Raw genomic sequence first — 14,232 nt, 5'->3', positions numbered from 1 at the left:
CACCTCAGTCTCCTGAGTAGGTGGGACTACAGGTGTGTACCACTATGCCCTATTTTTTAATTTTTTGTAGAGGGTCTCATTATGTTGTCCAGGCTGGTCTTGAACTCCTGGATTCAAGGGATCCTCCTGCCTCAGCCTGCCAAAGTGCTGGGATTACAGGCATGAGCCACTGCACCCAGACTCACTATAACTATTTAAGAGATATAATGCACTATGGACAAAGCAGGGGGAAGGAGGGACTGACATTCAGACCAGCTATGTGCAAGGCATCATGTACATGCAACATGCAGTCCACAAAATGTAATACAGTGAATAATGACATTGAGAGTTAAAAACTAGTGCTGAAATAATATTTGAGCAGGAACTCCAAGTTACTTACTCTTCACAGTGGGTTTCCTAGGATCATAGGAAACAGTGCTGCTGACCACTGGTGCCAAGTGGGCACTGCTGGTGCTTGGGCCATCATAGGCCGGCTCCTCAGGGCTGGGGTTAAAGCTGATGCTACTGGCGGAAGCATGGCTGCTTCCCATGGGGTACGGGGCTGGCTTGATCCTGCAACACAGGACAACACTGGTTAGGCATGAGCACAAGAAATCTGCCCTGAGCATGAACAGCCTGAAGCTGGCCTGTGTGAGGATGACTCACCCTGTTTGTGGCTTTGACCAATGGACCCTATCACCCTGGATTCTGGTGGTGGCTCAGAGATGTCTCCATTATCCTTTCAGAAAAAATGATAATCTCAACTAACTTTTCACTGTTTTGGTATAAATCTGTATTTTGAAAAGGCTAATGTGGCTTAGACAAAATAACAATCATTGCAGAAATGTGTTTTTTGTTTAGATGGGAAAAGGGAAAGCATAAGGGAATGTTTCCCATAAGCCAGGCTTTGCTCTCCATTTAATCTTGACTACCCTAGGGCAGGGGTAATTATCACCTTGCACTGCAGTCCAAGAAGCGGAGGCTGAGGGAGGTGAGGGAAGTGCTGAGCTGATGAGGTCTGCCTCCAGAGCCCACAGTCTGCACTGCCTCACTTTCACCAAAAGCAATTTGCTTCCTGCCGCTATGGCTACCTCTAAGGGTTGATAGCACACAAAAGCCAGGTAAGAACACAGATCTTACTTGATTTTCTCAGGGACAGCTGCTCCTCCCGTTCCAAACTTTTCCTGCCTCCTCCGGACGTCACGAGGTGGCTTGGCCACAGAGTTGACAAAGGCCATCTTTGCTTGTCGGCCTGTGGAATTATGGAGATGAACATCTGCCTTCTTGAGCAGAGATGCTACTGTTATTTAAATAATCCACGGGCTTTTTGAGTGCCCTGAAACCCCACTTGTAGGGTAGAATGGGCGGTGGCAGAAGAAATACCCACCCTGCTACCTGATGTAGGGGCAAGCAGTCCTACACCAGCCAAGCCCACCAACACCCTGCTATTGACCAGAACACTCATCCTGCCAGTTCTCCCCCAGCTCTCCCGTCTCTGTTACCTTTGGGCTTATTGGCATGTGCGAACTGGATATTCTTTGTTAGTACTCGTAGCCGCTGCTCTCGGGCGTCCTGAAGCCGCAGGTACATCTCTCGCCACGACTCATACTCTTCGGGTCTTTCTTCCTTAAAGTCTCGGTGACAATGAACTTTCCATAATTGATCTGTTTCTTCAATTAATACCTGAAACCAGAACCAGGACATCATTTGTGTACAAGCACTTTTCCATATTTTTTTTTTTTTTTTGAGACAGAGTCTTGCTCTGTCGTGTAGACTGCAGTGCAGTGGTGCAATTTTGGTTCACTGCAACCCTTGCCTCCTGGGTTCAAGCGATTCTCACGCCTCAGCCTCTCAAGTAGCCAGGACTACAGGTGCTTACCACCACGCCCAGCTATTTTATATTTTCAGTAGAGATGGGGTTTTGCCATGTTGTCCAGGCTGGTCTCGAACTCCTGACCTCAGATAATCCGCCCACCTTGGCCTCCCAGAGTGCTGGGATTACAGGCGTGTGTCACCATGCCCAGCCTCATATCTTTTTCTGATTATTTAATTACCTAGGAGTGACCAGTTTCCCAAAAATTTTTTGGTCTTCATCTTAGTAGTATGTTAAAATACCACAATTCTAGGAAAAAAATAACTCCCTAAATTTTAAAAATGCGAAGTGTGAGGCACTATGCTAGTTGCTTTTGGTGGCTGTGACAGAATATCACAAAAATCTGTGTAACATCAGTCTTTTCCTTTAGAAAATCAGCAAAGGGTAGAACTGCGATCAAGTCAAATCAGGTACTTCCCAACACTACGCTGAACTGTGATGGCAAAGGGGCAACCTAAGAAGGATGTTAAGTTATTGGCCAGGCGCGTTGGCTCATGCCTGTAATCCCAGCACTTCAGGAGGCCAAGAGTCTGAGAGTCCATCTCTCTAAAAAATAAAAATATTAGCCAGCTGTGGTGGTATGTGCCTGTAGTCCCAGCTACTTGGGAGGATCACTTAAGCCCAGGAGTTCAAGGATGCAGTAAGCCATGATTAGGCCTCTGTACTGCAGTCGAAGCAACAGAGGTAGACCCTATCTCCAAAAAAAAAAAAAAAGGTGTTAGGTCATAGAACTTTCAGAATTAAAGAGAGACAGCTGATGCAATCAAATGTGTATACCCTACATCCTAAGGAGGATTCTGGATAAATCTTGATGTTTCTTAAGAGACATCCAGCCAATCACCAGATGTCAGAGTGTCAACACAAAGTGCTTTCCCCGCCCTGGGTCCCAGCTACTCTGCTGCCAGAATTCTCCCTTTACCTTCATGACTAGGCAAGCTCAAGGGAGATGTTAAGTGTTTTTCTTCTCCCTTTGAATCCCACCCTGATCCTAGCCCAAGAGGCCCACTTAAGGTGCCAGGAGCAAGTGCTAATAACATGCTTGTTTAAAGGCCCAGTGGCAAACCAAATATATCCAGAACAATGCTCTGACCACTGATCTGCCCTTCAGCCACAGCGGAGTCACAGGGACAAAGCTATTTCTGGAGGTACAAGCCAGAAAACTGCCCTCTTCCCACCCAAACAGAATACTCACATGATTGTATTCCTCTATGCGATACAGCTGATCAGGTGTACACCTCTCCAAAACGGGTTCAAGAACAGAGTATGGGACTCCTCCCACTTCAAAGATTGCTGCAGAGAAACCAAAGGTGAAGACACTGAGTAGCAGCCAAGCCACCCAGTGATAAGGTCCAAGTGCTACAATGTGCTTGAGAGCTAGAGAGAAGCGTGTGACTTACAATCGATGTTGTTTTTAAGTACTCGGATGCATTGCTGGTGCAAGGTCATCATTTTAGGGAGATAGGCACACTTGGAACCAGAATACACCTGCATCTTGGAATTCATTCTGCGCCCAGTAAATCCAGCTTCTTCTTCTTCCTGGGGTGAAGAGAACGCTATAGGGCAAGAAAAACACAAAAGGCCCTAAGTGATCCAGTGAAAACTCTCCTTCTACCCCCTTCAGCCTCCTACTTCCCTTTCCCAATGGCAATCCACGCTACAGATTTTTGTAGATCCTTCCAGAGAATTTAAAAATAAGCTCCTGTAATCCCAGCACTTTAGGAGGCCAAGGCACATGAATCATCTGAGGTCAAGAGTTCGAGATCAGCCTGCCCAACATGCACCTGTAGTCCCAGCTACTCAGGAGGCTGAGGCAGAGGAATTGCTTGAACCTAGGAGGTGGAGGCTGCAGTGAGCCAAGATGGAGCTACTGCACTCCAGCCTGAGTAACACAGCAAGACTCTCAACAGCAACAACAAAAAAAAGCAAATGTATCTTATTCCTTTTAAGCCAATGAATCAATTAATAACATACTCACTACATACATTGCTTTTTTTCATTTGCCACATCTGAGAGATCATTCCATGTCAGTGCATAGACTTTCCACATTTTTTTTTTACTGTGGCATAGGATGCCACTGTGTAGATGAACCATGATTTATCTGTTAGTCTCCTGCTGATAGACCCTTATGTGGCTTCTACTTCTTTTGCTATGAAAATTAGACATTTTTTTCTTTCAGACAAAAATCCTATGTAACACATAGGATAAAGGGCTGCTAATAACAGCAGCAGCAATTTACTGAACAATTACTATGTGATAAACCCAGAGCAAAAAGGCATCACTTCTGAATTCATTAAACTGAGCCCTATGGGGCAGATACCATTATAACTCCCATTTACACAATATATACAACTAAGGTCCAAAGAAATTAAGATATTTCTCAAGGTCATATAACTTGCAGAAACCAGAGTTGGGATTCAAACCCAAGCCATCAAACTTCAGAGTCTATGCACTTAGGAAATGCATCAAAAATCTGATGTTATGGTGATAGTTTTTTTGTTTGTTTTTGAAACAGTCTTGCTCTGTCACCCAAGCTAGAGTGCAGTGATGCAATCAGAGCTCACTGCAGCCTTGAACTCCTGGGCTCAAGTGATACTCCCACCTCAGCCTACCGAGTACCTGGGATGTGCCACCATGCCTGGCTACTTTTTTTCTCTTGTAGAGACAGCATCTTGCTGTGTTGACCAGGGTGGTTTAGAACTCCTTTTTTTTGAAATAGAGTTTCCCTCTTGTCACCCAGGCTTGAGTGCAATGGCGTAATCTCGGCCCACTGCAACCTCCACCTCCCAGGTTCAAGCAATTCTCCTGCCTCAGCCTCCGGAGTAGCTGGGATTACAGGCACGCACCACCATGCCTGGCTAATTTTTGTATTTTTAGTAGAGACAGGGTTTCACCATGTTGGCCAGGCTAATCTCGAACTTCTTACCTAAGGTGATCTGCCCGCCTCGGCCTCCCAAAGTGCTGGGATTACAGGAGTGAGCCACCACGCCTGGTTGGTTTAGAACCCTTGGCCGCAAGCAATCCTCTTACCTCGGCCTCCCAAAGTGCTGGAATTATAGGTGTGAGCCACTGTACCCTGCCTTGAATGAATTTTTAAATCTTTTTCCCATTAAGAAAAAGAAGATATAGAAAATTACCTTTTCGCTTTGGCTGGAAGGAGGATATCAGCTCGAGGGAAGGCAGTGGACGGTAATTGGCCTGTATCGCGGGTAACGGGAGGTCTGGCAACACTGGCAACACATCAGGCACCTGCAGGGGACAGACCCATGGGTGGAGAGTCAGTGAGTAGAAGCACAGCTCTCTTTCCTACAGTCTATTCCCGGGAGCATTAACTGGACATCTTGCACAGGAAGATCCAGGTTGGAGGGGGCCACAGTCATGTCTGACACCACCTCAGTCAGGAAATAAATACAGATGAGCCCATCACAAGAGAATAATGCAGAAAATTCTTATTTGCGGTACCATATACCCTGACAACCAGTGAAGCCCAGAGGAAATTACTGCACACTGAAATTCAACATGCCCCCCAAAAGCAAGCTAAGGAAAACAGTGGCAGGGCAATCCTCTGAGCTCTGCAGGGCCAGGTGCTCTGGGTGGGAAGCCACCAAGGGGCTGAAGGGGTTACCTTTCTCAGCTTGGCTAAATCAGCTCCAGCCGGCTTCTCTGACTTGGTTTTGTTCACCTTGGGTAATTTCTGAACTGAGTCCAAGTTTTTACCAGTGCTTTTAGAGTCATTTTTTTTAAGTCCTTTATCTCCAAGTGCCGTGGCTGAAGTTTTCACAATCTTTTTCTTTTTCTTCCGGGGCTGGTCATAGCTGAGGTAGGATTCAAAAGACATGGTTGGCTGCTCGAATTCATCCTCCATATCTGTCTCCTCAACTTTAGGGAGGGAGCCCAGTGACTTTCTATCCAAATTAGTTTTGACTTTCCCTTCTGGAGTCTTTAGGTTGTTAGAACCCTTCTCTTTTACCTTGGGCAACAGGTCTCCTGCTCCTTTTCCTGTGTCAAAGCTGTCCAGACCTTGCTTGCTTTTGTCCAATTTGGCTTTCTCTGGGTCTCTGTGCTTTGGCTTTTTCAGGTGGTTGTCTGAAGCGGCCTCTGAGGGAGGCAAACACTTCTTCTTCAGGCTGCTGCCCTCTCTGTCCTTCTCTTTCTTTACGCCACTAGAGGGCGGTTTCTCCCTTGCATTGTCCCCTGAGGGTGGCCTTCGGTTCTCCTCTTTGGAGAGGGCCTTGTGTGATTTCTCTCTGCTCACCACAGAGGCCTTCTCATCACTCTTGGCATCCACGGGGCGTTTGTCCTTGTGGGAAGATTTGTGCTCCTTGTTTTGACTCACAACCCCTTTCCCATGGGGTTCACCCAGGTGTCGTTCTTGGCTGGCCCCGAGTCTGTCCTGAAAGGCATTGCTGTGGCCTTTCCCAGGCTTCTGGTGTGAAACAATGGGCTCCTGGTCCTCCTCCAGGGATCTGTAGTGGTCGACGTACATCTGATGAGGACTGGTACAAGATGGAGGGGATTGAACATGGCCATAATCAGAAGACTCAGGGTCTGAAGAGTAAGTTGGTGACATTCTGTGACACCTCTTTCTCTCATCTCTCCTCTCATGACCGTGAGACACTTTGTGAGGTCTCTCGAGCTCCGAGAGTTTCCTATGTTTCTTCTGCCTGTGGTCAGGGCTATAGGATCGGCTCCCCGTGGCTTTCCAGGTTTCTTGGTAGTCCCCCTCCATCTCCTCCTCCTTCTGCAGGGCATCCCGAGGGCGCTTTCGGGAATTGCTCTTCTCAAAGTCCTGTTCATCAGGCTCAGCATTTCTAAAATAAAAGAAAAAGCAGACAAAGTAGGTCTAAATCTTGCTTCTTGAGGGACAAAGTCACAGAATCTGAACTCACCAAAGAAGTGAAGATGCAGAGTTAGAAACAACAAGGTCTTAAGAAGAAGATAAGTAGGTTATGCTTAAAGATACTCAAATCTTAAAACTGGGAAAACCCAAATGAGAAATGGTGAGTTTAACCACAAGATGCAAAGATCAAATATCTCATATACATGAAAATGTGGAGATTTATTAAAACATGGGGACATGTTTAATTTGTTATATAAAATGGGGGCTGCTCACTATTTATCTAGTTCACAACTTAAAAAAATGCCATTTAAGGAGCAGTTAGAAAGAAACATACCAGGCCAGCCGCGGTGGCTCACGCCTGTAATCCCAGCACTTTGGGAGGCCGAGGCGGGCAGATCACGAGGTCAGGAGATCAAAACCATCCTATCCTGGCTAATACGGCGAAACCCTGTCTCTACTAAAAATACAAAAAATTAGCCGGGCGTGGTGGCGGGTGCCTGTGGTCCCAGCTACTCAGGAGGCTGAGGCAGGAGAATGGCGTGAACCTGGGAGGCGGAGCTTGCAGTGAGCCGAGATCACGCCACTGCACTCCAGCCTGGGCAACAGAGCGAGACTCTGTCTCAAAAAAAAAAAAAAAAAAAAAAAGAAACGTACCAAAATGTTCATAACGTTTGTCTTTGCGTGATAGAAATAGGAAATTTTGATTTCTATTTTTAATATTTTCTAATATTCTACAATGATCATGGATTATTTTTTATAATTGAGGCAAAACAATTTCAGAAGGCAAAAGAGAAATAATAAAGAAAACCTTTTCTATCTGTAAATTTAACCATGAAATTGAACAAACCTAAAGAGAAATGTTCTTACCGTTCCACAGGAACCAGCTTCTTCCACTGGGCCACTAGGTCCCTGGCAAAGCTTCCAACATGCTCGTGTTTTCGCAAGCTATTTACTGTTTTCCCAACCCCAGTCTCCTAAAATTTGACAAAGTAATTGTTAGAGGGGTCTGGAACTAGGCTAACGTTTTTCTAAAGAAATAAGGCTTTCTACTTTGAGAAACTCAACAAGCAATACTTCCTTCCTACAACATACCCTGCAAATCTTAACACTAAATTACTTTGTGTCTATGCCCCAAATCTCTAATGACACACAGTAGCAAAGCGTACCAAGTTCAGAACTTTAATAACAAGAGTGATTAGGGCAGGTGTTAGGCACTAAGATAAGAGCTTTGCATACAGTTCTGAATCAGTCTTTACAATAACCCTGTGAAGCAGGAATCAGACCCATTTTACATAGGAACAGCCTAAAGTCATAGAACTCAGATTTGAATCTGGGACTAATTGATGCCAAAGTCAATGTTCTTTTAATTCTAATTTTGAAATAAAGTCATTTAACAATATTCACCACTTTAACTAAAGTACATAATTCAGTGGTTTCCAGAACATTCACAATATTATATAACCATTATAACCATCTAATTCCAGAACATTTACATTACCCTAAAAAGAAATCCTGTTCCTCCCAATTCTCCTAGCCCCTGGCAACCACTAATCTACTTTCTGTCTATGGATTTGCCTATTCTGGACATTTCATATAAATGGAATCAGACAATATATGGCCTTTTGTGTCTGGTTTCTTTCACTTCCAAAGCCCATACTTGTAACCTTATTCTACACACTCTCCAGTGAGAAGGGAATGGGATATCATTATATAATATTTAAAGTCACACAGTTCTTACCGCAAGAATGTCTACTGTAATAGGCAGGGTGGAGAGTTTCTTCAAATATTTCAATAGCTGCAGAGAAGAAAACATTAATTTCAATAGTCAAATTCACTTTAACAAGAATATCTGATTATTAAGTGCTTAGTGCTAACCATTTACAGTAATGAGTATAAGTATTATGCCTATTTACAGTAGTAAGTAATATCCCTATTTTACAAGTATGAAAATAGGCTCATAAAAGTTATGTTTCTTGTCCCAAGATGCAAGTGGGGCAAGATTCACTCAGGTCTGTGGCTTTAGATTCCCTGCTTTCAACCACTGTGCTACACCAAGGGGAAATAAGATGTAGAGAAGAGAATCAAAACTTACCAACTCTGATAAAAGCCATCAACAACTATCATTTTTGCCCTAGTTTTGATAGAATTTATGAGAAAGGTACCAATTTTAGGGGAATTACCCATGGACCTGGCACAGAGGAAGTAAAAGGAAGAAAAGGCCTCTACAGGAAAAGACCATCATGTTTCCAGAAGGGCCACAGTGTTTAACAGAATTGTTTTCTTCTACATAAGTGTAAAGCCAAGAGTAATTTCAAGTTGCCAGAATCAGAGCTTGGATGTTAACGGTGGACACAAAATGCCTGGGTAGATTAGAAAAGTGATCTGGGTTTGATCACATTTCCTTCCTATAGTTCCTAAAACTAGGTCAAAATCAGTACAGCAGAGCTGTTAAGATGGAGTTCTGGAGTCAGAGACAGGCTTGACAATCTGGCTTTGTCACTCGATGAGTGATCTTGAATAAGTCAAAAACCTCCCCAAACTTCAGTTACTTCATCTGCAAAATAGGAACTTGGTCCTGTCTCTACTTCACAAACTATGAGGATTCAGAGACAAACCATGTGCAGTCCTTAGTCATAGTGTCTAGAACACTATGAAAGCTCACTAAATACTTATCATTTCATTCATCGACTGACAGCTTTCAGCGTTCTGCCCTTGATCTTCAACCAGATATTCCTCAGCCAATTCCTACTTGCTCTAACAAAAGTTATGACTGGCCAAACCTTTCTCTAGGAAATGTCTACGTGTATCTAAACATACTTACCATACAAGGAGTGCTTCAAAATACAAGTAGTTTAAAATAGATAACTGTGGTTACCTTTGCATTTAAATATTATATAACAAGATCTGCTTTTACCATGTGTGGCCCAGACTATAATTGGTATGCCATATTGCTATTAGGTGGAGTAACAAGTCTGTTTTTCTGGTCATTCTACTTCAATCATTACTTAACATGGTCACCAGACAGAGCAATTGGATCACAAGTGATAATCTTGAGATCAAGTAAGAGGCCAAGTGGCATATCTAGGGAGTCTCACCTTCATAGATGAGTGAAAATTATCCCCCACTTCAAATCCTATCACCACCATCATCCAACTCAGGAAAAATTTTGTGTTTCTTGCCACCCAAGCTATGGGTGCAAAGACTAATGCCAATTCCTTCACTTAAAGGAAAATTTTAAATCACTGAAAAGGTCAAAAACAAGTGGTTCTCTCATAATGCCATTCCTTGGAAGGGGTAGGTTGGGAATATTCACATACCATCTATTGTGTGTCAGCTACTACACTAAGCTCTTACACGTTACCTCATTTCATTCCCACTAACCAACTCTATAAAGTGGATGTTATTCTCCCCATTTGACAGATATTGCAACTGAACCCAATCAGGTTAGGTAACTTGCTTAACAAGCTGGAAAGTCAAATGTGTCTACTACAGTTAAGTAAAGCCAGGAGAAGCATCCAACATCAGAACACTGTCCTTAGGAAATGAAAATAGAGCGGCAGCACATATACTTCTTAGCATACTTGCAAGAAAGCAGAAAAACTCCTCCTGTGATGTCATTAGACAGTTCAGAACCCACATAGTAAAGGAGGTCACCAAGGGAACAAAGGTGTCCCAGGACCTCTACAAAGCCAACATATAAGGATGAGGCTGGAAGTCACTGTGGGTGTGTTTATCTCAAAGCCTAGCACTAACTGGAAGAACAAATCCTGTCTTTCTGCTTTACTTTGGGTTATTAGGGGTGATTTAAAAGCAGACAAAACTAAAACCCTCAAGATTTTCAGACTCATTTAGTCTAACACAAGAGAAAAAAGGACTTCACAACCCCTCTATTTTCAGTAAATTTCAAGAAAGAACAAAGCAATAACAAGGCAAAGGCACATTGGGCATCCTCAGGTGGATCGAAACTTGCTGTTATCAAACAAGATACCAACTATAGAGCTTGTAAGAACTGGTAACAGGCAACTGAGAAATATCAAACATTTGCAAGGTACATGTTGAGGCATCTCAGTTGTCCCCTGTACAATCCTTCAACCCAAAAAAGCAAAAAATATTTTTAATGTCACCTGCCATCAAAATGTTCTTGGTAGCTTTCACAGTGAAAATGTAACACAGGACGAGGATCCTTTTTTTTTTTTTTTTTTTTTTTGGAGATGGAGTTTTGCTCTTGTTGTCCAGGCTGGAGTGCAATGGTGCCATCTCGGCTCACTGCAACCTCCGCCTCCTGGGTTCAAGAGATTCTCCTGTCTCAGCCTCCCGAGTAGCTGGGATTACAGGCACCACCACCATGACCAACTAATTTTTTTATTTTTAGTAGAGATGGGGTTTCATCATGTTGGCCAGGCTGGTCTCGAACTCTTGACCTCAGATGATCCGCCCCTCTTGGCCTCCCAAAGTGCTGTGATTACAAGCGTGAGCCACTGCGCCCGGCCAACTGTGTGTGTGTGTTTTTTTTGTTTTTTTTTTTTTGAGACGGAGTTTCGCTCTTGTTGCCCAGGCTGGAGTGCAATGGCGCGATCTCAGCTCGCTGCAACCTCTGCCTCCCGGGTTCGAGTGTTCTCCTGCCTCAGCCTCCCGAGCAGCTGGGATTACAGGCGCCTGCCACCACACCTGGCTAATTTTCGTACTTTTAGTAGAGAAGGGGTTTCACCATGTTGGCCAGGCTGGTCTCGAACTCCTGATCTCAGGTGATCTACTCACCTCGGCCTCCCAAAGTGCTGGGATTACAGGTGTGAGGCACTGCACTCGGCCTAAGGACAGGTAATTTTTATCAGCCATGAACTATGAAACATAAAAACAGAAACCAAGTGGTCCTAGGCTGCTGATACCTTCTCCCTTAAGTGAGCCAAGATAACAGATGAAAAAGTGAAAACAGAGTTACAGCAATGTCTAGTACCAAAAAATCCATGAACACAGGTGTGGAATCAAACCCTTGGCTAATAATGGTTTGAAAGCAAGATCTGGTTGTAAATTCAACAGGGCTATATAATCATCTTGCAATTTCACATACAACCTGTAGGAGCTTGTTAGGTTACCAGAAGGTTGAGAGGAACAAGGCCAACATGACAGCTTGCAATTTTCCCTCTGCAGTTAACTCATATCTGAATGCCGACTATTATGCCCTTTGCAAAAATGATCTCCCAACATTTTCTCATCTTCATGATGCTCACTTCACAATGCAAAGCTAGAAGTTCAGGGTGATTTTCTATCTAGAAAGAGCCCAAATCCTCAAAAAAAAAAAAAAATCATTAATAGTTCAACTAGGTTGAGGTGGAATAAGCCTTTTCCTAATTTTGTATTTCATGCAAATCAACTAATAGAAAAACTACTTCCAAATCTAAATTCTAGTTAAAAAAAAAATGACTGTAGACACTACATAGAACATTTTTATCTGACAGAAATAAAGAACAAATAGTGGGTAGTTATTATATGGCACTGCTTTAAGGTATCAAACGTCAGTCACAGATCTTACAGTGTTCAGGAAAACAAACTAGTACTAAAAAATAATGACCATTTATTAGATGTCCACAAGGGGTTACTGTAAAAAGAAACTTGTAAGTATGCCTGACCACTAGGTACGGTACTGAAGCTGCAACAGAAAACATGGCACAATGAAAGCATTTTAAGTTTTCCCAGATTTGTAACTAAAATGGCTTCCTGAGGAAGTGAATCTTCGAGCTAGGTATGAACGAAGAGCCTTAAAAAGTGGTCTGATGGTGAGAGGCTGTGTACGGCCTTTGGAATTGCAGAAACCCTACCTCCAACAGGCTAGAACAAGGTAAAGAGAAAGTGGCTCTTCAAGAAAAAAAACCCCAAAGAATGACGATTGGTTTTCTGAGCACTGACTTTCAGCCTGGTACCTTAGCCTTTCAGGTTAGTCCTAGGAAGCAGCAGGTGAGGAAGAGGCTCAGCAGAGCAGTTCCCCCACGGCCCTAGCCCTCCCTCCACGACTTCCTTTTCCACCAGGACTGAGTTCCAACTCCTAGAACTGCCCGCCCCGGCCAGAATGATGACGGAGAATGCCAAACACATAAGTGCTTTTTCATCGTTGTACTTCCACTTAAAAAATCCTGACAACTGAGTTCAAGACCAGCCTGGCCAAGATGGTGAAACCCTGTCTCTACTAAAAATACAAAAATTAGCCAGGCGTGGTGGCGGGCGCCTACAATACCAGCTACTCGGGAGGCTGAGGCAGACAATTGCCTGAACCCGGGAGACGGAGGTTGCAGTGAGCCGAGATCGCGCCACTGTACTCCAGCCTGGGCGACCAGAGCAAGACTCGCCTCAAAAAAAAAAAAGAAAAAAAAAAATCCTGACAACCACCAGACTGTCTCCTGGAGACCAGAGAAGTGAGTGACAGAAAGATGAAAAGGTACAAGAACGCGTTTAACTTAATATTCAGTTTGTACAATAAACAACAAAAACTAGTTAACTACAATTAAAAATGGTTGTCCATCACTCGAACAACGAGAAACGGTAGCTCTTACCTTCCTATTAATGGCCAAAAGGAAACCTAGCTGCGACTTCCAACCCCGGGCCCCCGCCTCTTTTTCAATTCCAACCTAAGTTTTCAGGAGTATGCTTAGGTGACGCGAGGCTTTATTCTGTTTTGAAAGGGATTCACTGAGAAAGCGAAAGGTCCACGCTCTGATATCCAGCCGGAGAGTAGTAACCGCGTCTCCGAGAGGCGCGGACCAGACCGCGAGTCCAGGCTCCGCAGCGTTCGGGCGCCCGTCTTCTCCTCCCAGCGAACACGCACCCGCTGGGGAGTCCGCGCCGCTCCGCGGGGAGCCGGGCACCAGCGCAGGCACCGGGAGGCCAACGAGGCGGCGGCCAGCGCCCTCCCGCCCCGGGCACGCTCTCCCGCAGGAAACAGCTGGCTCGGGACGCCACGGAGCGCCTCTGGGAGGAAGCGCTAGGCACGCGGTGTCCGCACCGGGCGCGCCCCCATCCCGGGCCCGTGAGGGAGGGGGAGCGGCCGGGGCCCCGCGTCCCGACGCCCGACGCACGGGGTCCCAACGCGCGGGCAGCGGTCAATGGCCGCGAACTTCACGACCCCAGCCCCGCGGGGCCTGGCTCAGGGTCCCAGCCCCCGAACCCCGCCACGCTCGGGCCGCGACCGTTACGGGGCCCTCACCGACCCAACGCCCATCCCGCTACGCGCCGCCCCCTCGCTTACCTTCTTAGGGTCCGGGTTCGCGGCCAGGCGCGCCTGCAGCTTCTCCACAACTTGGAGCGCCGACTCCGCCGCCATCGCTGTCACTGGCGCGGCCTCCTCGCCGGAACTGGGCTCGCGTCGCGTCCTCGGGCCGCAGCTCCGCCCTCCGTGCATCCCCGGCGGAGACGGAAGCGCGCCTGGCCCCTTCCGGGCCTCGGCTGGGGTGTGTGGGGGGCGGTGGGCTGCAGGCTCCGCCCCCAGGGCCCGCTCCCCAGCGCCCACCCGGCGGCCGCGCACTCCTCGCGCCCCTGGCCCAAGTGTGCGCGC

The 14,232-nt window shown here is 45.7% G+C and overlaps 1 protein-coding gene across 1 annotated transcript in view, besides 2 other annotated features; it reads right to left on the bottom strand.

Moving 5' to 3' along the window:
* Window positions 1-14,034, bottom strand: part of ELOA (elongin A) — an 18,589-nt gene extending 4,555 nt beyond the window's left edge. Inside the window, exons 1-10 of the mRNA NM_003198.3 lie at window positions 13,927-14,034; window positions 8,428-8,484; window positions 7,557-7,663; window positions 5,475-6,660; window positions 4,987-5,098; window positions 3,250-3,405; window positions 3,045-3,142; window positions 1,482-1,662; window positions 1,120-1,231; window positions 380-552 (exon numbers count right to left, since the gene is read on the bottom strand). Of these exons, the coding sequence (NP_003189.3) occupies window positions 380-552; window positions 1,120-1,231; window positions 1,482-1,662; window positions 3,045-3,142; window positions 3,250-3,405; window positions 4,987-5,098; window positions 5,475-6,660; window positions 7,557-7,663; window positions 8,428-8,484; window positions 13,927-14,001 (2,257 nt within the window). The 5' untranslated portion in view covers window positions 14,002-14,034. The remainder of the gene's footprint in view (window positions 1-379; window positions 553-1,119; window positions 1,232-1,481; window positions 1,663-3,044; window positions 3,143-3,249; window positions 3,406-4,986; window positions 5,099-5,474; window positions 6,661-7,556; window positions 7,664-8,427; window positions 8,485-13,926) is intronic.
* Window positions 13,373-13,852: a silencer, noted in NCBI's record as "silent region_420". NCBI's record gives its function as "represses an Ori minimal core promoter by ATAC-STARR-seq in GM12878 lymphoblastoid cells {active_cell/tissue: GM12878}" and the evidence as "EXISTENCE:reporter gene assay evidence [ECO:0000049][PMID:35858748]".
* Window positions 14,003-14,232: a silencer, noted in NCBI's record as "silent region_419". NCBI's record gives its function as "represses an Ori minimal core promoter by ATAC-STARR-seq in GM12878 lymphoblastoid cells {active_cell/tissue: GM12878}" and the evidence as "EXISTENCE:reporter gene assay evidence [ECO:0000049][PMID:35858748]".

This window comes from Homo sapiens, chromosome 1, assembly GCF_000001405.40.
Source record: "Homo sapiens chromosome 1, GRCh38.p14 Primary Assembly".
Classification (NCBI taxonomy): Eukaryota; Metazoa; Chordata; class Mammalia; order Primates; family Hominidae; genus Homo; species Homo sapiens.
The sequence above is the reverse complement of the archived record's forward strand: the minus strand, read 5'-3'. Positions and strand labels throughout refer to the sequence as shown.